The sequence below is a fragment of the Homo sapiens genome, chromosome 2 (genome assembly GCF_000001405.40).
Source record: "Homo sapiens chromosome 2, GRCh38.p14 Primary Assembly".
Taxonomy (NCBI): Eukaryota; Metazoa; Chordata; class Mammalia; order Primates; family Hominidae; genus Homo; species Homo sapiens.
Genome location: NC_000002.12, coordinates 188,989,048 through 189,013,268, shown reverse-complemented (window position 1 = coordinate 189,013,268; position 24,221 = coordinate 188,989,048). Strand labels below are relative to the sequence as shown.

The window sequence follows — 24,221 nt, the reverse complement described above, 5'->3', positions numbered from 1 at the left end:
AATTTTGTATCCATAGACTAAAATCTCCCAACCCCACCCCACCTTCTGCCCTTGGAAACCACCATTCTATTCTTCATCAATGAATTCAACTCTTTTAGATTCCACATAGAAGTGAGATCATGTGGTACTTGTCAATTTTTCTTAATATTAATATATTTCAATAGACCCGTATTACAATTACTTTCTGATAAACTATCAACATCTTCCTCCCTTATTATTCCCAGTTTGGGAATACCTTGATTTACTGTGTTACCATTTCCAAGGATTGACCCTTTCAAACAGAATGCCCTCAGTGTCCAGTATGTCCCACAGGGGTTCCTGCAAATATGATCTAAAAATCTGCAGGATTCCTCATTGAGCATTATCTCTACTCTGAATATATGTTATATTATTTTATATTCTTAAAAATTATTGCATTATTAATCTATAGAGTTAGAATTCAATATACTTTTTCAAGATTACTGGAGTTCCTTAATGTAGACGTGCATTTTTTAAATCTTTGAAAAGTGACAAAAAACAGGAGAATTTTAATATGATATTTTATTATGGGTGTCTGTAAGGAAAAAAAAGATCAACAACCACATACAAGCTTACAAAGTTAAATTTCAACACATTCTCTATGCTAGTGTGACAAAAGCAGCCCCATAATTTGGTTTTTATTGTTGACCTTTACAGGATGAAGGAGGAGAATCCCCTGTGGCATGCCAATGAATCTTTCTGATGGGAGACATGTACAGATTTTGTGCATTTATGTTCTGAATGCAAGTCAACAATTCTGATCTAGAGTTTAAAAGTGAAAGTACATTAGCACCATAACATGCGTCTTTAAAGCCTTCCCAAATATTAGTAATCTTGACCAGCAATGACAAGAAAAAAGAGGAGCACCTTTACAAGCAGTTGATATCCAATATTAAAATAATTGTGGCTTTAAAAATATTTCTTTAAATTCTTGCATTACACTTTTCTTTTTAAACCAATCTTCCAGGAGATTAATCAATGAAATTTATAAGTTTTATCAACGTATAAAATTTTTTTCATCTTCTGGGACTCATAGAATACAATCTGTGTTTCTGACCAGTTGAGGTAGTTAAAATAGGGAGGGCTTTTCTAATTTCGTATTTGACTATTTCAGAAAGAAAGGTTATCTTTTACTGGTGAGCACAGTCATTGCTCTGCAGATGGGCTAGGATTCAAAGAATATAACACAGTGTTGTTATCATAAAGAGTGTTGAAGTTTATTTATTATAGCACCATTGAGACATTTTGAAATTGGAATTGGTAAAAAAATAAAACAAAAAGCATTTGAATTGTATTTGGTGGAACAGCAAAAAAAGAGAAGTATCATTTTTCTTTGTCAAATTATACTGTTTCCAAACATTTTGGAAATAAATAACTGGAATTTTGTCGGTCACTTGCACTGGTTGACAAGATTAGAACAAGAGGAACACATATGGAGTTAAATTTTTTTTGTTGGGATTTCAGATAGAGTTTGGTTTATAAAAAGCAAACAGGGCCAACGTCCACACCAAATTCTTGATCAGGACCACCAATGTCATAGGGTGCAATATCTACAATAGGTAGTCTCACAGCCTTGCGTGTTCGATATTCAAAGACTGTTTTGCTCCATTCCCCAGTGTGTTTCTGTAAAAAAGGACAAAATGTACATGATCATGACATTACAATTACTTAGACAACTCTGACTTAACAAGTTAAAGAAAACCTTTTTACTCTAAAGAAGCATTCATCGTGCCATGTTATTATTCATGTATATGAGACCTGCTCTACTTCAAAGCTGTAATCTTCTTAGTTGATAAACAATATTCTTAAACAAATGCCTTGTAAGGATTCTTAGTAAATGCAGCAGGGCAATTGCTATAGACCAGTGCATCCTCAGGAGGCCTGGTTCCGGCCATTGCTAACAGGTTTATAAATGGTTTATTAAAAAGAGGATAGGTCTCTCACAATGAAATTCGCTAATATTAGAAGTGAGTTTTCCCTTTGTTCACAAATAACAATAACAAATGAGAGATTTGAAGTTAACCTTTAAAATTTTAAAAAACAGATATTTCAAACTGAGTTAATGTGACAGGTATTATTCAAAACATATAGTAACTATCCCAATTATCTGATAAAGTTTGCATTATGGATTTAAATTTTAAATGCTTTTATTTCAACTGGTTTTCATCTGGAGGCTAAGATCCATTTTGTTGCATTTAACATTCCCTGCAATGAATCAGTAGATGCAATGTATGTAATTCATACCAAATGCTATCTTTATTTCATCCTATTAATTTTATTTATTCTATTCAAAATAATTTGCATGATTAAACTAAAATGCTGACTGCTTTATGACCTATATTGAGAAAAATGTTTCCTACCGTGCAACCATCCTCCAGAACTGTGTAGGTGAATTTGCTATTTCCTTCAGCCTTGAATTCACCTTCATTTGACCCCATCAGCTTCAGGGCCTTCTTTACATTTCCACTGGCCTGATCCATGTATGCAATGCTATTTTTGCAGTGATATGTGATGTTCTGGGAAGCTCGGCTGGAGAGAAGTCGAAGGAATGCCAGATGCACATCAAGGACATCTTCAGGAAGTTCAGGATTGCCGTAGCTAAACTGTAATAGGGAACAAATAAAACAGATCAAACATTTCAGTTGTAACTGCACGCGAGGGATTCATGTAGTATGTGTATGCATATTGTAATATGGGCTGTTTATATATTTTATGTACGAGTATTTTATGTGTGAAAATATTTTTATTGCATGCCATCACTTTCAGTAGCAAAAACTGCAATTATGTTTGTACCAACCTAGTAACTTTGCTTTGTGATGAACATATAGGAAGAATACAAAGGATATAGAGGTGACTTATTTAAAAAAAGGTATATCCTTTCCTACCTGAAAACCACCATCCATGGACTCTCCAAACCAAACGTGTTTCTTCTCAGCACTAGAATCTGTCCACCAGTGTTTCCGTGGAACATTCAAAGGATTGGCACTTATGCATGTTTCCCCAGTTTCCATATTACAGAATACCTTGATAGCATCCAATTTGCATCCTTGGTTAGGGTCAACCCAGTATTCTCCTGAATAGTCACAAAAAAGAATGGGAATTGGTTATAAAATCCAGTAATAAAGTGATTTTGTTTGTTTACCTGTAAAGGCATTCATAATGTTGACTGCTAATGTGTCTGCATTTTATGTATAGAATGATAGAGAAGCTTTTTGATTGAAATTGCTGAGGTAAAAGAGTTAGCTATGACTACAGAAAGCACTGAAATAAAATGCAACATCTTGGTTTCTAATAAGGATGATACACTAAGCTAAGACCTTTTGATTGCTGTATAATATTTGCAAAAGTCTCTCCTTTAAAAAAAGATGATTATTATATGTAATCTTGCTTAATAATATAAGCTGGTTGTCTAACCTAGATTTGTTCCAATAGTTCTAAAGCTGAAATCCCTATGATTGATGCTTGTCTCCTATTTTAAGTAATTTCTAGAAATGACTCCTAGCAAAGGCAGTGTTCCATGTCAAGATATTTGAAAACTTGAAATAATTTTGCTTTTCAGAAATATTTAACCCAATATATGCAAAACCTTAAACTATTACAATATTCTATTTAATTTTATACAGTATTCTGAAATTTTTCACTTGTTTAATTTGAAAATTTTAATAATTAGATTCATTGCAATAAGTAAATATTACAATAATCAGATTATAATTGTCTGCATCAAATTATGTATATTTAATCCTGAGAAAAAAAGATATGTTACTTTATACTCAAATAACTTACAATTTATACTACAACTTCTACAAAAATGTCTTTATATTTTTCTGTATTTGGCATGATCTGAAGTTATGTTATATTTTACATCTGCAAAGTTTACTCTTTTATATCAAGCAGTTTCAATTCAGTTAACTTTCTTAAAGTACTATTTCAGCTTTCCATTGAAAGTAGATGTTTTTTCGTTCCCATTCTAATCTAAGCAGCTTTCTCTGTAATCCTATTGCCATGAAGATGAAAGACTACCAAACATACCACTCTTGAGTTCAGGATGGCAGAATTTCAGGTCTCTGCAGTTTCTAGCGGGGTTTTTACGAGAACCATCAGGACTAATGAGGCTTTCTATTTGTCCATTAACAGACTTGAGTGAAGTCATAATCTCATCGGTGTTGATTTTGAAATCCATTGGTTCATCTCCATAATACGGGGCAAAACCGCCAGCTTTTTCACCTCCAATCCCAGCAATGGCAGCGGCTCCAACACCACCACAGCAAGGACCAGGGGCACCAGGAGGTCCAGGAGGGCCTGGTTGCCCTGGGTGGCCTGGGGAGCCCTAGAATGAGTAAAACATGGATCATTGAGGTATGCACATTCAGTCGCCACTCTAAGAATACATTGCTAGTCCAAGAAAATGCCTTAAAAATAATTCATTCATTGTGTCATCAGAATTATTTTACTAAAGATTTATTTGGGTGCCTTTAGGGTCACGTGATCACCGATTTATAATAACTACAATTCATTATCAAGAAAGATATTGTTCCACTATGTAAGAATCAGTAGTGTCAGAGCACAAGTTTTCTCTATCATTCTTCCTTCTGGATGACTGATGTAAGCAAACACCTGTGAGCTACAATTCCAATATTGACATGACAGAGGGGAGTGTAATTTGTTGGGATAATTGTTTTTATTTCATTTACCCAAAGGCATGGAATAGAAAGTATTAGGAATGATAGTATCATTAACAAAATAGTAACCATGGAAGCTGTTTGAGAAGTAAAATGCACTACATAAACGCAGATAATTATGAATGTTGTAATTCTGAGATCTCTAGTGGGATAGCAATGTGGACAGGGTTTATTTGGTTAATTGGGCAGATGTCATTATTCTGATACGATGGATACCTGATCAAATTTTTAAAAAGGTATTTTTCTCCTGTTATAGTGTGGTAGAAACATTTTTAATGTGATGGAGAATGTCTTAAAGTCATTGTTCAGTTTCTAAATTGAGTGGATGCATTGCGTCTCTCTATTTCAATTTAAACATAATGCGCTGTGTTTCTGAAAATTGGAAGATTGTAGCAAATTAAATACACATACGTATAAGTGATGTCTTACCTCAGATCCTCTTTCACCTCTGTTACCTCGAGGCCCTGGTGGTCCAATGGGACCTGGATGTCCACTGGTTCCATCTTTGCCAGGAGGTCCACTGGGTCCAACAGGTCCCTAAGAAAGTATCATGACATCACAATGCCAGAATATCTTTCTGAAATGCAGACATCTGAAACATGTGGACCTGTAATATCTTTCTGTGCTACTTACTCTGGGGCCTGCAGGTCCTGGACTGCCGATTGCACCCTGCTGACCAGCAGGGCCCTGGAAAGAAAGGAAGTGTACATAGGAGTGAAGGCCTTAAAAAGCACTGGGAAACTGTACATTCAAGATCAGATCAAGAAACATGGGGATCATGATGAAATTTTTTTTCTTTCTTTAATCTTCCCATTGTGTCATGCTGATTGTTGTTTCAAATTAGCCTTCAAATCCATTTCTCATCTCTTCTAGTACATATTTTTAGAGATGGAAAGCTTTCTTCTCTTAATCTCTAAAATTTGTATACATTGAAGGGATTTTCCAACAAAATGAATGCACTTACTGGAGAACCTGGGGCACCTGGATTACCAGGGAATCCTCGATGTCCTTTGATGCCAGCAGCTCCACGTTCACCTGTTTCACCTTTGTCACCACGTGGGCCTTGAGGACCCTTTAGAAACATATTTTGAATTGAAGTCATATACACACATACATATTGGAAAAATAAAATAGAATTTATAATAATTAAATCTATTTTATGGCTTTCTATCAGCTAAAAAATCCCCCATCAACAGACACTTCAGATAGGAAATGAGATTTGTTTCTGTGGTTGTTTTCATTTTGGACTGATCATTGCATGGATCCCTAACAACTGATGTTTCTATCCTTGGCTCCAAAGAACTTTTAGATCCTGAACTGCTTTCCATATCATTGTCATTAAAGGAAAGTTTATATTTGTTCTATCTATCTATCTATCTATCTATCTATCTATCTATCTATCTATCTATCATCTATCTATAGATAGAACAAATATATATATATATATATATATATATATATATATATATATATATTCATTCTTTTTTCCTGAACACGCTGGAAAATAAAATATTTCCTACACTGTAGAATGAGTTAAAAAAAGAACAAAACAAAATAAAACCAAAAAATGACAAAACTTACAGGAGCACCTCGGGAACCAGCAGGACCGGGAGCACCAGCAGGGCCAGCAGGGCCCTAAGATGAAAACATTCAATTGAGAAGACATACACGGAACTAGTTTTATGTGTTGACACAATTTCGTTTTCAAAAGTAAATAATTTCATTATAATAGAATTATAGTATGCATGCAATTATTGGAAGTTAATATTGTTTTTGCCTTCAAAGTGCTAAAGCCCTGTTTATAGCTTTCTCAGGGGATCTAGACAGAAAAGTTGGGCAAGAGCCCTGTTAACTTGGCCTTGCATTTACCCAGCATATAGATAGTTGGTCTGATTAATATGATTTCGGGTTTCAGTAATGAATTCTTTATTGACTACTGCCAAGTACTTCTGGTATTGACTTATTCACACATTTGTCTAAGGAACAACTAGCATTAAAACTGTAAAACAAATGACAGTGGATATTTTGGTTGGCAGATCTGACATTCTACCTTCTACCTACAAATGTCTTTATTGAAGGAAATAGACAAACAAGACAGATGCTGCTTTTGGGAACTCACACTTTCTCCTCTGTCACCACTCTTTCCAGCTGGACCGACAGGACCAGGTGGGCCTGGATGACCAGGAGCGCCAGGGGCACCAGGAGAGCCATTTTCACCACGATCACCCTGTGAACAAATTCATAGGTACAAAATAAACATGATGATCACTTATTTTGATAACACAAATCAATTGCACATGTGTTTATTATACCTTGCCACCAGGAGATCCATCTCGGCCTGGAAGACCATCTGATCCAGGGTTTCCCTGATTAAAAAATGAGAAAGGAAATAAAATTTCTTGAAACCTTCCAAATGCCATTTCATCCATGCATTCTCAGCAGGGCAATATAATTCTCAAGGGGGTTAAAATTGGTTCTTGGGGGTAAGAAATCTTAGATATTACAAAGCAGTGTGGCCCTTCAAAGGGTCACAATGTCCAGACAGATAGTTAGTGTATTCATGGAGGAGAGGTGATTAGAAAAATGATATCCAAAAAGAGTCTTTACAGACCTCTAATAAATAAAAGTTTAAGAAATAGTGATCTAAACTGTTAGTGGAAATCTACAGTTTAATTAGTTTGCTTTAATCATTCCACATTGTATACATATATTAAAACATCACATTGTACCTTATAAATGTATACAATTATGATTTGTTAATTATAAATAATATTAATTTTAAATTCTTTAAAAATAATAAAAGACTAACCATAGATAACCGTAGAATATTTTCACTCAGAAAACATGTCAATTGTGGTTCTCCCCACTAACTTTTTTCCTAATTTAGTTAGAGATAATATTTTCTCCACAAATGATTATTCATTGGGTAAATACTAATGAACAAGAGCTTTTAAGTCTATCCTAAATTGTAATGAAAGAATTTCTGTTATTAGAGATAGAAGAACTTTGCTATGTGGCCATATTTACACTCTTAGACATTAAAGCTCAATTTCACCTTTGCTGAAATAAATTATCAAATTCTACCTGGCTGGTTGAATAAAAACTGCTACTCACATCTCTTCCAGGTTCACCAGCTGTACCAGCCAGACCAGGAAGACCCTGGGGTCCAGGGGGACCACGTTCTCCACTGAGACCGTTAGCTCCTGGTTTCCCACTTTCACCCTGTATACAAAGGAATGAAAAACATTTTGTTTCAACTTAAGAAATCAATTAAAATGGTGTTATCAGATATCTTTATTTTCAGGTAAAAAACTTATTTTATTTAATCTTCATTGAATTTTAAAATTAAAACTATGCCTGCTATGGGAAAAAATATGGGGGAGCAAGCTTCTTGCATTTTCTAACTTGCTCAGTGACTCTGGATGGCAAAGGGCTGAATAGTTACATTGATTATCTAATTCAGAATACTGTACATTGTAATCTGAGATGAATACATAAACATGATTAGTATAGGGAAAAACAATAATGAGCCATCATGAAACTAGAGGTGTATGGTGATCCTTAAAATTAGGTTATTTGTCTCTATCTGAAGAATATACACTTACCAGAAATATCATATCAATTGAACACACTTAAATATGAAATATTAATTTTATGACAATATTACATAACATTTTGTTGAAAGAAGTACTTAAAGTGCCATAATACGAGCCCTAATAAAAATGCAATTTTATTATCCTGTTTACCAAACGAATGTTTTAGATGCTAAGCACTAGAATGTTATAGGAATATAATACTAGTGAAAGAGAGTCAGGAGTGCAAGATGACTTGAATGGATGGATAACTAGCATTAATGAAAGACTTTCCAAGATCTATAAGCTAACACTATTTCCCCCTTCAAAACTGACAGTCAACAAATTGAAGAATATTCACAAGTTTCCTAAAAGAGGTGTTTGAGATGGCAATATTGTTTTCATCATATTAATTTATTTGTGTTTATATTCAAGGTTTGTCTATGATATGCCCTGTTTTGTGTTCTGGAGCCATTTATTAAAATTTATGCTTTTAAAAATCTAAAAATAAAAAAAAATTATCTCCTGGCTAATTTACTCCAGTGACAGAAAAACTTTTCATCCTTGATATGGTTAAGTGATCTCTGAAGGCTACCAAAGGAAGGAAGAGTGTAGTGGAAAATGACTATACTCACCTTGACACCCTGAGGGCCAGGGCTTCCCCTAGGACCTGGCATGCCTGGTGGTCCTGCAAGACCCCGTGCTCCAGTGATCCCAGCAATCCCAAGTGGGCCTGGAGCTCCCTAATACAGATAATGAAGACTTAGCTCATCTTTATGTGACAGTGTTTTTCTCTAATCGATTTGTGATAAAAATCAAAATAGTAGAATCAATTTAAAAAAATGAAGTTACTTACTGGTGGGCCCTGGGCACCAGGCGATCCCTTCTCTCCTGGTTGGCCAGCATCACCTTTTGGTCCAGACACTCCAGGGCTGCCAGGAGCACCAGTGTTACCCGCAGGACCTGGGGGCCCATCCTTGCCTGGAGAACCGCTGGGACCTGGGGGTCCTGGGTTACCCTACAAATAATTGTTTGAAATTTGAATATTTATAATAAAAAGTGCATTTTTTCTTTCTTTTTTTACTTACTTCAAATAATTTTATTTGAGACTTACTAGAGAAATAAGTAGCAATGTGTAAGTTTCTCATCCTATACATACATGAATGCTCTTTCTGAAGTGTATGATGAGAAAAGACTTTAACAATTACTTACATTACTACCAGGAGGACCAGGAAGACCACGAGCACCAGGGAAGCCAGCAGCACCCTGTGAAATGGTAATATATTTTTGAATTTCAAAAGTAGAACAAATAACTGTACAACAAACAAAAAGTATAATGTGTGGCATGATCTGCATTGTACCTGAAAGTCATTTATGGTTTGTGTTTCCCCTTGGAATTTACATATAACTCATGTATGAATGAGCGATTACAATTTTTACATTCTCTTTATGGAACTAGTGTCTCAAATGCAGCTTTTATACAGGTTGATATCAATTAATGCTTTTCAATAATAGTTAAGAGGATCAATACTTACAGGTCCACCAGGACTGCCACGTTCACCTTTGACACCTTGGGGACCAGGAGGACCCTATATGAAATGGAAGGAAATTATGTAAGAATAGCACCAAAATCAAAATTTGGGAAAAGCATTAAGCCTTTGAAAACCAGGAACTCTATGAAGAGGTTAAAATAACTTTTAGATTGCTGGTGCTGAGATTCATACTTGGACTATATTCATATAAAGATTATATTCTTGACACTATGACATGCTATCTCAGTATAAAATATTAAATTACTGATAAACCTCCATGTTTTTCCATTAGAACACTTAGGACTTACAGAGGGGGGAGAGGGAGAGAGAGAGGGAGAGATAGACAGATAATCAATAGATAGATAGATGATAGATAGATAGACAGAGAAAGAGGAAGGAACTTACAGCAGGTCCAGAACCTCCAGGGGGTCCTGCAACTCCAGGAGGGCCTCCTTCACCTTTCTCACCCGGAGCCCCTCTTTCTCCTTTACCACCAGGTTCACCATTCTGTCCCTACATGCAACAACAACAGCAATCTCTCAGCTGACACTCTTTATGATACAATTGGCTTATTATTATTTCTCTTCAGAATATAGAATTCTTCAGATGGAAGGAGTTGAAATAAAATTTAAAAACAAGGCTTTCTGAAGACATGACAAAATGAAGCCAATCAAAATATTTTCATGATCAAAGAACATGACCAAGAAAGCATAAACTGTGCATTATTTGCCATTAGGGAGGGAGGAAGTGTCTCTAAGGATTAAACATTTGAAAATCAGCACCAGTAAATTTTTTTGAGAAAGACCGGATTTAAGAGAAAATTTTAATTAGTACCATCTTATAATGGAAGAATTTACAAAAATTCAGAGTGCTTTTAAATCCATGATACTGCTTTAGTTCATTACCCAGTCATAAAAGCAGGACAGGTGTTTTTATTTCCATCTTTCAAAGAGCGACAATAGGGGTAAAGTAAAACAAAATAGGGGTACAATAATCCTATAGGGAATGAGCAGCTAAAATGAGACTAGAAACCAAACTTGACTATACTTTTGTAATTTTTCAGCAAGATAGAGATCCTGGGCTATGGGACATGTATGTATAAATATTCACACTTACAGGAGCACCAGGGAAACCAGCAGGTCCTGGAGGGCCAGTTTCACCTCTCTCACCCTGAAGAGAAAAATATCCTCCTTAGTCACAGTGAAGTGTGCGTCATCTCCTTTAGGCAGGAAATGTCATCTTATCATCTTATCTTTTCTTTCCTTTAAGCAGGAAATGTGCAGAGTAGCCAATAAACTTCTGAAGACTTTGCCACTTCTCAATAAAATTAGGAGTGGAAAATACCAGAACCATTGATTCCTTCTGCCTCCTACTGTGATATTATTTGCAAGAAAAATAGTTTGAGAATTTTAAAGTATTTAACACATTTATATATATAGATATTTATGTATTTCAATATATGGTAGAAGCTTAACTGAAAAATTAACTGATTTATTTTTAAAAACCATTTACTAAATATCTTTCCAGAGTCTTAAATCCTGAAGGTCAAGACTTTTAAATCTAGAAGGAGTCTCAGGCAAAGATTCTATAGGCTTAAGAAATACCTAATTACAAACATGTACTACTTGTGCAATTCATGTATTTTTTCCAAAGTTATTTAGGAAAGAAATCCTGATTTAAAATGGTCTCCTGTGAATGTTAGATTTAAGAAATTTAACATTCCCTTGCATGCTATATGGTTCCTTATATGGTTTTTGAAGATAATATCTCCAAATTGAGGCTCAGGGAACTGAGGGCAAAACTGCCAAAAAGGGAAGCATAAGTAGCTACTGTCTGTATGGGGTTAAAAAGTATGTTGAGAATGTCTTTAACACTTACAGGGCTACCACGAGGTCCAGCTATACCTGGAAGTCCGGGGGCACCACCTTCACCCTGGAAAAAGAGAAGCCATGTCACTGTCTTGCATCCAAAAGAGAGAGACATTTTCTTTTTATATCCAGGTAGTATTAAGGGTTACCTTATCTCCAGGCTGGCCAGCTGGGCCAGGAGGACCAATAGGACCAGTAGGACCCTAGAGGAAATAAAAATATTTTTTAATTTTGAAGATACAAATATCGTTTTTTGCATTAATCAAACAGAAAGTATATAGACATAGATACCTAATAAACTAGATAACATACTTTTTAAAAATTTTTATGGCTTGAATGCTATGCTTTTCTCTCAATGTGTAAATACTGCAGAGCTCAGTAAACACAAGCCTCTTTGGGGATAACTCTGGGAGAAAATAGGATTCAGCAATAGTTTATTGATTCATTTATCTTTATCTCCATTGTAGAAGATAAATAGGATGTCATGTAAGATCTTACAGTAATGTCTTTTTAAATTAAAGTACATTTCTTTATTCAATTGCTTGATAATTTAAATGTTTTCTCAAAGTCTCATTGTACATATTAAATTTTTCAACTTGAAATTTTCAAATAGTAGTTTTACTTATATTACAAAACTGAAGTATTGAGCACTCTTTTTACCTGAATGACGGCTTATCTACTTAGTCTGTCAAAAGCGAAGCATTTATGAATTTCTTTAAGGCAACTATTATATAAATTTATTAAAAGACTTAATTATAATCATATTTAGGAGATGTTTTTTGTTTTGTTTTTGACTTTTAGTTTGAATTATAGATTCATAGGATGCTGCAAAGGAATATACAGGGAAATTCTGTGCACTTTTCTCCCAGCGTCCCCTAATGTTAACATCTTACACAACTATAATATAATATCAAAACTAGGAAATTGACATTGATACCATCCATAGAGCATGTTCAGATTTCACCAGTGATACACACACTCATTTATGTGTGTGTATATGTAGCTCTATAGAATTTTATCCCATGTGTAGATGTGCCTGACTACCACCTCAATCAAGATACTCAAATGTGCAATCACCATAAGACTCCCTTGTGTCATGTCTCCATAGCCACATCCATCTCTCTCTTTCTCATTCTTAACTGCTAGCAACCACTAATCTGTTCTACATCTCTACAAGGAAGTTATTTTGCAAATATTGTAGGAATGGAATCATGCAGTATGTATCCCTTGGTGACTGAATTTTCTTCACTGAGTATGTTGTCCTTGAGGTTTGTATAATTTGCTGTGTGTACAGCATCAATTGTTCATTCCTTTTTGTTGCTAAATACTATACAATTTTTAAATATTAAGTCTATTAATGAGGAGTACTTACTATATTGAATTTTGATGACTTTTAGTTTCTTAATGAGCAGCATTGATTATCCTAAATTTCAGTGATTATCTCAGATTTTAGTGACTCACAAATGCTAGTTTGTGACCTTTATCGTACTCTTGAGGCTTTTTCATTCTTTAGTCACTGTAGATCTATCAAGTAGCCATAGATATAGACCACAAATTTCATTATAAATCAAGTCATTCGGGTCTTTAGGTGGTAAAATATCTAATTTCTCTTGAGTAGTTTTTGGAAAAAATTAAAGTTGAAGTGCAGGACTGTCCCATATGACATATAGATAAGGCCTGCTTCTCCTCACTGGGAATACTCACCCTTGGGCCATCTTTCCCTGGGACACCATCAGCACCTGGACCGCCTGGTTCACCCTGTCAAATAAAAGCCAATGTCATCAGATTCAAAGTATCTTCAGTGAAAATCAGCCAAGAAGAGGAGTAACTCTCAGGATTTGTAGGGATATATATTGGGTGTTCTAATTCATTGTTGCTTTAGGAATCCATCTTAAATTTCACTTACTATAAAATGATAACATTAATTTTGAAAATACAGTCGATTACTTTCCAGGAGTGTTGCTTTTTTTAAAACCTACAATGACTGATTTATTGAACAATTAAGAGAAAACAAGTCAACACCTTGTCACCCTTTGGACCAGGACTTCCAAGACCTCCTCTTTCTCCAGGCATTCCTTGCAGACCAGGAGTACCAGCAGCACCAGGTGGCCCAGGAGGACCAGCAGCACCCTGAAAATAAGTGAGAAATAATAAATGATCAGAAGGAAATCAAATGCATTTTTTAAACCTAGGTGAATGGAATGCTGTGGAGTTACCTTTCCTCCTTCGGGACCAGGGGGACCAGCTCCACCTCTAAGTCCTGGGGCCCCTGCCAATCCAGGAGGTCCACGTTCACCAGGGGCACCAGCATCACCCTGTGACAAAAATATGTAAATAACCATATTAGACAACCCAAAGCTAAAAACAAAGCACCTTAACTTGCATCATTTTGAATCAGGCCACTAGGTTATTATATTGTGAACAATCTAGAAATTTGTATACTTAAAAATAGTTGAACAGCTGGGTGGGAACTAGAAGCTTAAAAGAGTGTCTAAAATAAAACTTGGATACTTAGTCTGGTTAAGTGTGAGCTGTCATTGAAATACTTATTATTTTATTCACAAGAGCAACATTTTAAAGTTCTTTTTACCAAAACAGTTTTCCTACATAGAATCAACATATTGGCAATATTTTTCCGTTTGAAATTTTAAGCCCGTATTTGATTCTGTAGTGATTATGAATGTCAGAGAATTGGACCTTCCAGATTAAAGCAAATTTAATGTATTGAAAGTGTCTTGAGTTTCTCTAAGTGTACTTACCAAACATTTGCAATGATGCTCTTTTAAAGAAAGAGTATTTTGGCTTGATATACTAAAAATATACTACTAATCAATTGCTCTATAACCTGCTGAAGAAGGTAGAGAATAAATTGAAATACTACCTTGCCTCCTGGAGCTCCAGGTGCACCGGCATCACCCTTTGGACCCTGGGAGATTGGCATTATATGATTAGGCCCATATCAGAGTGCATTTTATGTAAATATAAGCAAATATGTAAATATAAGCAAATATGTAAATATAAGCAAAATACACATTTGTCATGTTGGCATACTGTATAATTTTTCAAATCTTGAAACTATGAACTCTCTATTTTATGGTAAAATTCAAACTCTATATAATAGTTATCTTTTAAATAATTTGTCTTTGTTTTGATAATATTTCAAAACTAAATGTTAAATCTCAAATATCATGGCATAAGAAAATTAAGAAGTTAATAGTTGACAAACAAACAGTGTGTATTCTTTTTGTTTCTGAGTTTTGAATAATGAAACGTAACTTACTGGTTCCCCAGGTTTTCCATTTTCTCCTGGAGGACCACCTGTACCAGGCAAGCCCTAGAAAGAATCATATTTGTATTAGGTAATTACCTCAAACATGGCTTATAGAAAAGCTTCTCATATGTACACATGTTTCTGCAAGATATTAAAAAAAAGTTCCAGTGGTCTTGTAGGGGTAGAAACGTTGTGCCACTCAAAATCCAGTGACACATACGTGATAATCATATTTTACAAACCCATTTTCATCTCTCTCTGTTCTTTCAATTGCTACACGTAAAAATGTATTGACCAGCATGGCAGGATAGACTTGGCTATATGGATTTATGTTATAATAAAAATAAGTGTAACCAAATAGAATTATTTGAGTTTCATTAATTCTTTTAAATAACTTATTAATGTGCTCTGGAACGGACATGGAAGATATGCCTACCTATTAACATTGCCTAAAATTTTATTTCCAGATGAAAGACAGAATCACAAGTTAAGCTTCAGATAAATTATAATCTATTAGGGACACAAAAAAATTTGACAGTCAGATATGCCGTGACATTTAAATAACAAGTTCTTACTTGTAATCCTTGTGGACCAGGGGGTCCTGTGTCTCCTTTGTCACCACCAGGCCCCTAGAAAAGTATAATGATACACTCTGTTGTAAACATCCTTTTATATTTAGTCTACAGTATCCATTTCAACAGGCCTGTTGCTTAATTATAAAAGTAGTGATGTGAAGAAAAGGGAGGACCTGGACCCAAAGCACACATGTACACTCTAAACTCAATGCTAGCATTTAGCTAGATAACTAGGTCAGCAAGTTTCATCATTGCTTTGGTAAACTGTAACAACATGGTGTCAGAGATTATGTAATTTTTGAAGCATTCTTCCTGCCCCACCTCCACCCTATTTTCATCTCCAATTTTATATGAGTGAACTTACAGTAGGCCCTGGGGGTCCCTGAGGTCCAGTTTCACCATTCTTTCCAGGAGGACCCTAAAAACAAGAACAGTTAGGGAAGTAGAAATAATACAGATTACAGAGAGAAGTCAGAAGGTTGGAGATGAACGCATCTATTAGAAGGCTAGAAATAAATTGAGGAAAGCTACGTACCTGAGGGCCAGGTCCTCCAGGGCCACCTCGTTCTCCATTCTTACCAGGAGCACCCTAAAGAAGAAGTGGTCGGTATTTACTAATCCTCAAAGGGCAATAACTAATCATATTATTGTCTCATATATATATGTCTCATATATATATGTCTCATATATATATGTCTCATATATATATGTCTCATATATATATGTCTCATATATATATATACACACACACACATACATATTTTTGAGACTGAGTCTTGCTCTGTCGCCCAGGCTGGAGTGCAGTGGCGCAATCTTGGCTCACTGTAGCCTCTGCCCCCCGGGTTCTAGTGATTCTCTTGCCTCAGCCTCCTGGGTAGCTAGGATTACAGGCACATGCCACCATGCCTGGCTAATTTTTGTATTTTTAGTGGAGACAGGGTTTCACCATGTTGGCAAGGCTGGCCTAGAACTCCTGACCTCAGGTGATCTGCCTGCCTTGGCCTCCCAGAGTGCTGGGATTACAGGCGTGAGCCAGCGCACCCAGCCTGTTTCATATTTTTTATCTGCCTGCTCCATACACACACATACAACCATAACCAATTATATATTTAGCTCCCTTCCTACATGCAATTTGATTTTCATATACTCCTCCATGCTTTGAAGAGGAGACTGAGTTTTGACCATTTCTTTACTCCATATGGAAAATAAAAGCCTTCCAGTCAAATATTTATTGAAGAAATTAATGAAGGAACTCACATCATTTCCTTTAGGACCGGGGAAGCCCATGACACCAGGCTGACCTCGGGGACCAGATGGCCCAGGAGGACCTGGTCGACCACTTTCTCCTTGACTTCCCTAATAAGAAAAAATTACATTAATAAAGGTTTGATAAAGAGAAGATTAAAGCATGCTATATATATAGTATGTGTGTGTGTGTGTGTGTGTGTATATATATAGATATACATATACATATATATATATACACACACACACACACACACACTCAAGGATAGGCCAACATATACATTCCATTTTAACTGGCCTTTTAAAATGAGATTTTAAAAATGTACATACGGGAGGCCCTGGTTTCCCATCACTTCCTGGTCCTCCTGGACTTCCGGGCATGCCCTGAAGTAAAGAAGTCAGTTGTTAGGTGATTTAAAATGAAATAATAAAAAATTACTACATACACTATTTGTATGATTTTGATATTTTCACTTACATGTGAAGCCTCAGATTTGCACATCTTTTTTCCTGTCTATAAAGTATCTAAGGCAAGTGTTCTATCTTCTCTTCTCCTTGAACTATCTCGGCTTAAGTTTACTTAAAAGAATTTTGTTTTGTTTGGTGCCTTACAAAATATGTAATCTGATTGATTTAAGTTGCTTTTGATCTGTCTTCATTTGTCTTGCCTTTCTTCTGTCTAAATTAAAGTGTCATTCAAACAAATGTTTCTCTGTACCCTCATTCCTGGACCTCCAGGGACGCCATCTCTGCCAGGTTCTCCAGCAGCTCCTCTGGGCCCTGCAGGGCCTGGAGCACCACGCTCTCCAGCAGGACCCTAAGTAGTGAAAGAAATTTTAAAAAAATTAAAATAGCCTTCACTAACCTAGATAGCAACAATATTTTGGTTACAAAGAGAGGACGTCATTTGAACTTTTAAAAAGGGTTCGTGTGTTGCTGAAACATTTATACATAAAATCAGTTATCTTAGCTTGGATTGCCATATTGAAAAAATTTTAAAGCAACTTTGTGAACATCACATGCTTAATAAAACAGTATTCACTGTGCTTAAAAATATAATTATGTGCAGCTAAAATCAAATATCTTAATGCTATGAAATCATATTTGATGTAACCTTAGAGTTTTCAAAGACTTTTCAGGCATTTTAGTTTACTGTACTCTTGCAACGATGCTCAGATAAATGCTTTCCAATTAACAGATAAGTAAAGGATTCTCATAGAGGGTAAGTAAGTGGCTTTAGTTACAAAGCCAGGAAAGTTGTTGAACAGAGGATGCATTATATTAGGAATTTTTCTTAACTCTAATATATATTCTTCAGATATTTAGGTTTTCATGAATGAGAAATTGTATACAAGAACTGCCCATTTGTGGTGCTAGCATTTAGGAACATAGAAACTAAAGTTATCTACCTTTTCTCCTGGGATGCCATTTGGTCCAGCAGGTCCTCGGAACCCAGGGGCACCCTGAAAATAATGAAAGACAAGTATTTCAGTCCAAAGGATTTCAATTCTTTTTCATAATTCTTGAGTGGCAAATATTTTTATGTCATAGAATGCTTTAAACAATATTTTCACTGAACACTCAACTTAAGAAAAATTGGCTGTCTCACCCTGAAGGTAGTTTTATTTAGATGACAGTGATGCTGCTTTTCTTTTAGATGCCCCATGGAAAACGTACCCTTTCTCCTGCAGCTCCTGGAAGCCCATTTGCACCAGGTTCTCCAGGTGATCCATCCTTGCCATCTTCGCCTTTAGCTCCTGGAACACCTGGAATACCAGCCTCACCCTGAAAAAAAAAAAAGATGGTAAAATAAAGAAATTATGACTGAATTTAGTTCAAAGTTTTTACCTGTTTACTTTCTAATTATGTTGCATTTTTTCAAGAAATAACCAGATCTGTTGCAGTAAAACTTACGCGTTCACCACGTGGTCCGGGCTCTCCTTTGGCACCATTCTTACCAGGCTCACCCTAAAGTATAACAAAGTCTTGGTTGAAACACAGGGAGGATTCGACTAACAAATCATCACCAGTAACACATAATTCAGTTATAAGTTATAAGACAAGAGTGAAGTCAATATAAATTCAACTGAACAGGAGCAAAATTTTGCTATTAATTTTTTGTTGATGGAATTAAACTATACCTTTCAGTCAACAGAGAAAAAACAAGGCAACTTACTGCACCACCTCGCAGTCCAGGAGCACCATTAGCACCGGCTGGTCCTGGAGGACCCCGGGCTCCCATCAGTCCAGGAGCTCCAGGAATGCCAGCGGGACCCTAAGAACAAACCAAAGACACTATATTAGCCGAACTTGAATGTTCTTTTATGAATATCTCACTTAAATATCACAAATCTATTGTCATGCAAAATGCAAAAGAAGCCAGTAATGTGTGGATGAGATAAGGCTGAGGAGTGGGGACAGCTTACCATTTCGCCTTTACCACCAGGACTACCATTAATCCCAGGAGGGCCCTAAGTATACAAAAAACAGATAATGTATTAATAGTAATGCAAATAGTTCGTATATATTTGAAGTTGTTTGTGTGAAAATAAATGTATCGATGAGTGTTATGCTTTGTAGAGATTAAGTGAATCCTCCAACTATAACACAACATATGAAATGTGGTCAAAAGAATCATCATTATCTAAATAAATTAGAGATAATATGTACTTCGTATAAATTATTAAATGATACATAAATAGAAGAGATTTTGAATTTGGTTCTTCTCTGAATTTTTATGATTGGTGATTAGCTTGGGGCACATTCTTGAAAGCATCAGAAAACTAGTCTATCCTCTATTCTTTTATATAAACATAAAAAATCATGAATTCTGGAATAGTGCAACAGTCAAAAACTATCATTTTTACTACTAATCAAATCAGTATGTGTCACAGGAGGATCATTTTAGAGCACTAAGCAACAATTTTTTCAAAGTAATTTTCACTGATAGCCATATTGAAGCACATGCTTTCATGGAGTAAGCATGAAACTATGCTTTCATGGAGTAAGCATGAAACTATGCTTACTCCCTCTCAACTATGATACTTACAGGAGGACCTTGAGCACCAGCGTGTCCCTGAGGTCCAGGTTCTCCTCTTTGTCCAGGGGCACCATTTGAACCAGGAGACCCTGCAGGTCCAACTTCACCCTAATGGTAAAACCTTGTGTAGTCAGTTTCTCTTACCACTTCTACTCACTTAGCCACTTCACCCTTCAGTCCTGTTTAAACACATCTCCCAAAAGTTGGAGTAGTGGGACTCTATACTGCAGGTAAAGCAAGGAATCATTAATCGTAAAGGCAGAGAAAAATGTAACTATGTGTGTGTGATTGCATTATCAGTTTCCTAGAAAGAGTCTGGGGAAAAAAAGAAGGTAGCAGAAGAAATATCAAGATAGTTGAATACTAGGGACAACACCTCTTTTAGAATCAAGAATAGGGCTTTAAAGACATGTATAGATAAAAGCTATCCATTTGACTGATTAAAAAAATCAGTTGCAAGAAGCAATCTAATGCTTTTCTCTTGCCTCCAAGATATTTTTATACCCTTCTATAGAAACACATGTTTACCTTAGCACCAGGGGATCCAGGGAATCCGGCAGTTCCAGGAGGACCAGGAGGGCCCTGAAAAAATTAAATACAATTTCAAGAGCTCTTTTTCAACTAAATGAAAGCTGACATACTAGTAAATAAGTGAGCACATATAAAGTAAAGAAGATATTTATGCAGATAAAAATGATATTCATATTTTATGGATATTATGTAGAGAAACAATGTGGTAAAATAAGAAAAGAGTGAAATCTAAAGTTAGAAATTCTTGGTTTCTCCCTACTTTGCCATGAATTCTGTGACTTAGTGCAGGCTACTTTTCCCTGGGCTTTTGTACTCCAGTCTACAAAATGGAGGTAACATCTATTTTATCCATTTTGTAGGACTCTTTAAAGTGCCATGTCTTACATAGGATATTAACTAACATTGGGAGCACCATTCAAATGTTAGCAGTTGATCAAGCAGAATGAGTGTCAGAACCTAGATTTTGTTTATGGGCTCAGTGTCAGTTTTAATCACAGGAGTGTATATACAATATTAAGTATTGGGGCTACAATATTTTTTCACTTTTTAAATTGTAAAAATGGTCAACAGAGATGCTAATGTGTATATTAGAGATATACATATGCATATATATATACCTAAGAGTATATACATATATAAAATATTAAATAATCCACAATCCATAACTTCTCATTACCCTACAACACATAAGAGATAGAAAGTTACTTACTGGTTGACCATCACTGCCTCGAGCACCGTCATTACCCCGAGCACCCTAAAAAGAGAAGTTTACATCAAATATCCTTTTAATTCTGAATGGCTGGTCATGAGTAATATTTTGACCAAAATTCTGACTCAAGTGAGTTGAGTTTTCTTCAAGTACATTAAAATCTGCTTAATAATTATGTATTTTAAAGTCAATTATTACAATTCTGATATATACAGCAACAATCAAATGTAGAAGGATTGGAGTCTGTGTTTTCAGGACTGAATGCAGATATAATGGCTCAAATGACATATGAAAAGTTAACACAAAAATTCTCAATAGAGATAATAATTGTAAAACAATTATTCATTTCCTTTTAACTATAGCCAAAACTTTATCACAGTATCATTGAGTATAATTTTGTAGGAAGGTCTTTTTCCTAACATATTTTTACAGCCTGAAACTTTACTGAGGCTGTAAAAATCTGTCACTTTGGGTTGTAATTGTGTGATGTTAGCAGCTATACTCACTGCAGCCCCAGGAAGTCCTGGCCGTCCTCGCTCACCAGGAGCCCCTCTTGGACCCTACAGAGTAAAATTGAAATATGGTTTTACTCTAATCTTGACATGTGTAAGAACAGTTGGGGTGGGAGCAAAGCCAGTTTTAGGTAACAATGAGGTTAATAATAAAACTGAAAATTATACATAAGAAACATAATTACCATGGGTCCAGGAGCTCCATTTTCGCCTGGAAGACCATTTTCACCCTAGATACATATAAAATATGTTACTATTTTACAAAAGAGGAAGAAAATATTATATATTTTTAAATACAGAATATTATGGAAAAGTTTATAGAGCCTAGAAAAAGATATACATTTTAACAATATTAATTTTCTGTTAGTATTTTATTTACCAGAAATCTCAATTTCTGTATTTAAAAACTTAAAGACTAAAGTGAAGTAATTGATAAGTTATACTAAGATGCTCAACTATTTCTAATCTAGACTCTTCAAGTTGTCATTTTTCATGGAAGCGTTAATAGAATATCTGAATTGGTTACCATTATTCACACCTAATAGGTAAAATTCAGGTAAATTTCAGAAAACAAGTTAAGGCTCACAATATGAATCTTATATGTAGCTTTAATATTTAATGAATTTACTTATGAAAATATGATTTTTGTTGTGATTTACCTTTAATCCAGGAGCACCTGTTTCACCCTTTTCTCCATTTCGTCCATCGAAGCCCTAGGAAATGTATAAAACCAGCAAAATTATTAAAATCTGTTAATAATCTAGAATGATTGATAAAGTTTACATGGTATTTTTCTAATTGGTCTTCATAACACTACTTGCAAAATTAGCTTAAATAATTTAAAACTTGTTTAAAGGGGTTGAAGATATTTCATACTGATTTTACAACAGGAAAACATGAAAACTAGAAAGTGCAATTTAGTCTGATAAGAAAGTTGCCTTAACTATAGAGTAGCAAACATGAGTTTCATAGATTTTATTATAATTCAGTTGATAGGTTGTAGGCACAGTTGGTTGAATGTACGAAATATTTTGCATAGAATAAAGTTGTTCAACTCAATCTATAAATCATATTAAGTCAATAAAAAACATAATTCACAAAATGTTTTTATTTTTCTGATAGTGGTAGTAAGAAAACGATATTTTTCAAGAGTACTTTATACACTAGAAATCAACTCCTTTATTTTGCAAAAAATGACTAGTTTGGTCAACAAACAAACTTAGTAGACTTAAAAATATCAAATTAATTAATTGTCAGAATCATATTTTTTGGCACATAATTGTCCAGTAAAATTGGTTAGGCAAGTAAACATAGCCCAGTGGAATACCTTGTAAACAACTTAGAAACTCTACTTACTCTGTGTCCTTTCATACCAGGGAATCCAGGTATCCCAGCTGGACCTTTGATACCCTAAAAATAATGAATGAAAAAATATTAATGAACCTTCAAATAGAATCACAATCTAGTAGTAAAACACTTTCTGTTTTTAAGTTTAATTCCATTGAATTACATAATAGTTTTCAAGCTAAGATTATTCCAATTAATTTATTAGATGCTGAAGACTCACTGGAGGTCCAGGCAATCCTCGCTCTCCAGGTCGTCCGGGTCTACCTGATTCTCCCTAGGTAGAGAAATAAAGAATACGTAGGTGCTCATGTATGAGAAAATACATTGTAGCCAATAAGCAAAATGGTTACTTTGCATTTTTCTCACAAAGGACTCATTAAAATGGTTCCACAAAATGTATAGTTGAGATCAGCTTTCTTGGTAGAAGGCATGAGGAAGACCTTTCCCACTTTGATATAAGCTTATAAAGAGATAATGCAGGTGCTTCTAATCACTGAAATAACATAAGCCAGTGAAAAGAATTTGCCATTGGAGATTAAGAGGGAAAGAAGGAATGCCATTGAATTGAAGGTATCTATAACTTCTCAAGTTCATTAAATAGTGGTATCAATTTCATCATTAAAAGAGGCAGGCAGAGACACCTATTTCTCCTCCAGTTAAATAATATATTCAATGGATGAGTCTTCTCCGCAGTCAAAAAGCACTTTAAGGATTTTATTTTGGAATTCAACAAATGATATATATAGAAACGCAAATACTGTATAGCTACTCAAAAATTAGTATTAACTAAAATGTTGTTAAGACAACAATATTTTGAATAACATTTTTTTTTCTTCTGGGATTCTGACATAAAGCATATACTGTTTAGAATACACCAAGTTAAATTTTGCTGTATTCTTATTTAAGTTTTAAAAACTTACATCTTTTCCAGCAGGACCAGATGGACCTATAGCACCAGGAGGTCCTGGAGGGCCCTGAAAATAAGGAAATAAAAAATGAATAGATTTGTAAATTTTTCTGTTACAATTTATTATTACACAGTGTATGTATTCCTGGAAGGAACCTCCTTTTAGAAAATACTTTTAATGTTTCTGATAATGAAAATGATACTTACTGAGTTAATATTATACCTCTATTATATCAACTTACTGTTAATAAAAATTAAAAGCATCATATATTACGTATGTGTATTTATAAATCCAAATGCATTTCTACACGTTTAGGAATATTAAATATATCTAAATATAAAGGTATTTCTAAATGTCATGAAATGTTGTATTTAAACTATTTTACTTGCTTATTTACAGAGCATATCCTTCTAA

General features: G+C 34.9%; 1 protein-coding gene and 1 non-coding gene across 2 annotated transcripts in view, besides 1 other annotated feature; both read right to left on the bottom strand.

Moving 5' to 3' along the window:
• Positions 523-24,221, bottom strand: part of COL3A1 (collagen type III alpha 1 chain) — a 38,374-nt gene continuing 14,675 nt past the window's right edge. The window contains exons 8-51 of the mRNA NM_000090.4: positions 23,820-23,873; positions 23,120-23,173; positions 22,909-22,962; positions 22,212-22,265; positions 21,738-21,782; positions 21,547-21,600; positions 21,041-21,085; positions 20,329-20,382; positions 19,810-19,908; positions 19,187-19,231; positions 18,937-19,035; positions 18,675-18,728; positions 18,438-18,545; positions 18,170-18,223; positions 17,479-17,577; positions 17,091-17,144; positions 16,773-16,871; positions 16,051-16,104; positions 15,880-15,933; positions 15,516-15,569; positions 14,950-15,003; positions 14,551-14,595; positions 13,886-13,984; positions 13,692-13,799; positions 13,374-13,427; positions 11,819-11,872; positions 11,680-11,733; positions 10,918-10,971; positions 10,207-10,314; positions 9,805-9,858; positions 9,482-9,535; positions 9,126-9,287; positions 8,905-9,012; positions 7,812-7,919; positions 7,010-7,063; positions 6,817-6,924; positions 6,279-6,332; positions 5,662-5,769; positions 5,331-5,384; positions 5,127-5,234; positions 4,048-4,345; positions 2,904-3,091; positions 2,379-2,621; positions 523-1,641 (exon numbers count right to left, since the gene is read on the bottom strand). Of these exons, the coding sequence (NP_000081.2) occupies positions 1,495-1,641; positions 2,379-2,621; positions 2,904-3,091; positions 4,048-4,345; positions 5,127-5,234; positions 5,331-5,384; positions 5,662-5,769; positions 6,279-6,332; positions 6,817-6,924; positions 7,010-7,063; positions 7,812-7,919; positions 8,905-9,012; positions 9,126-9,287; positions 9,482-9,535; positions 9,805-9,858; positions 10,207-10,314; positions 10,918-10,971; positions 11,680-11,733; positions 11,819-11,872; positions 13,374-13,427; positions 13,692-13,799; positions 13,886-13,984; positions 14,551-14,595; positions 14,950-15,003; positions 15,516-15,569; positions 15,880-15,933; positions 16,051-16,104; positions 16,773-16,871; positions 17,091-17,144; positions 17,479-17,577; positions 18,170-18,223; positions 18,438-18,545; positions 18,675-18,728; positions 18,937-19,035; positions 19,187-19,231; positions 19,810-19,908; positions 20,329-20,382; positions 21,041-21,085; positions 21,547-21,600; positions 21,738-21,782; positions 22,212-22,265; positions 22,909-22,962; positions 23,120-23,173; positions 23,820-23,873 (3,765 nt within the window). The 3' untranslated portion in view covers positions 523-1,494. The remainder of the gene's footprint in view (positions 1,642-2,378; positions 2,622-2,903; positions 3,092-4,047; positions 4,346-5,126; positions 5,235-5,330; positions 5,385-5,661; positions 5,770-6,278; positions 6,333-6,816; positions 6,925-7,009; positions 7,064-7,811; positions 7,920-8,904; positions 9,013-9,125; positions 9,288-9,481; positions 9,536-9,804; positions 9,859-10,206; positions 10,315-10,917; positions 10,972-11,679; positions 11,734-11,818; positions 11,873-13,373; positions 13,428-13,691; positions 13,800-13,885; positions 13,985-14,550; positions 14,596-14,949; positions 15,004-15,515; positions 15,570-15,879; positions 15,934-16,050; positions 16,105-16,772; positions 16,872-17,090; positions 17,145-17,478; positions 17,578-18,169; positions 18,224-18,437; positions 18,546-18,674; positions 18,729-18,936; positions 19,036-19,186; positions 19,232-19,809; positions 19,909-20,328; positions 20,383-21,040; positions 21,086-21,546; positions 21,601-21,737; positions 21,783-22,211; positions 22,266-22,908; positions 22,963-23,119; positions 23,174-23,819; positions 23,874-24,221) is intronic.
• Positions 10,586-11,785: an enhancer, noted in NCBI's record as "P300/CBP strongly-dependent group 1 enhancer chr2:189866210-189867409 (GRCh37/hg19 assembly coordinates)". NCBI's record gives its function as "activates an origin of replication core promoter dependent on BRD2, BRD4, P300/CBP, MED14 and CDK7 cofactors, with strong dependence on P300/CBP, by STARR-seq in HCT116 cells {active_cell/tissue: HCT116}" and the evidence as "EXISTENCE:reporter gene assay evidence [ECO:0000049][PMID:35650434]".
• Positions 17,577-17,639, bottom strand: MIR3606 (microRNA 3606). The gene has a single exon (NR_037401.1). It is a non-coding gene; the product is annotated as a microRNA 3606 (primary transcript).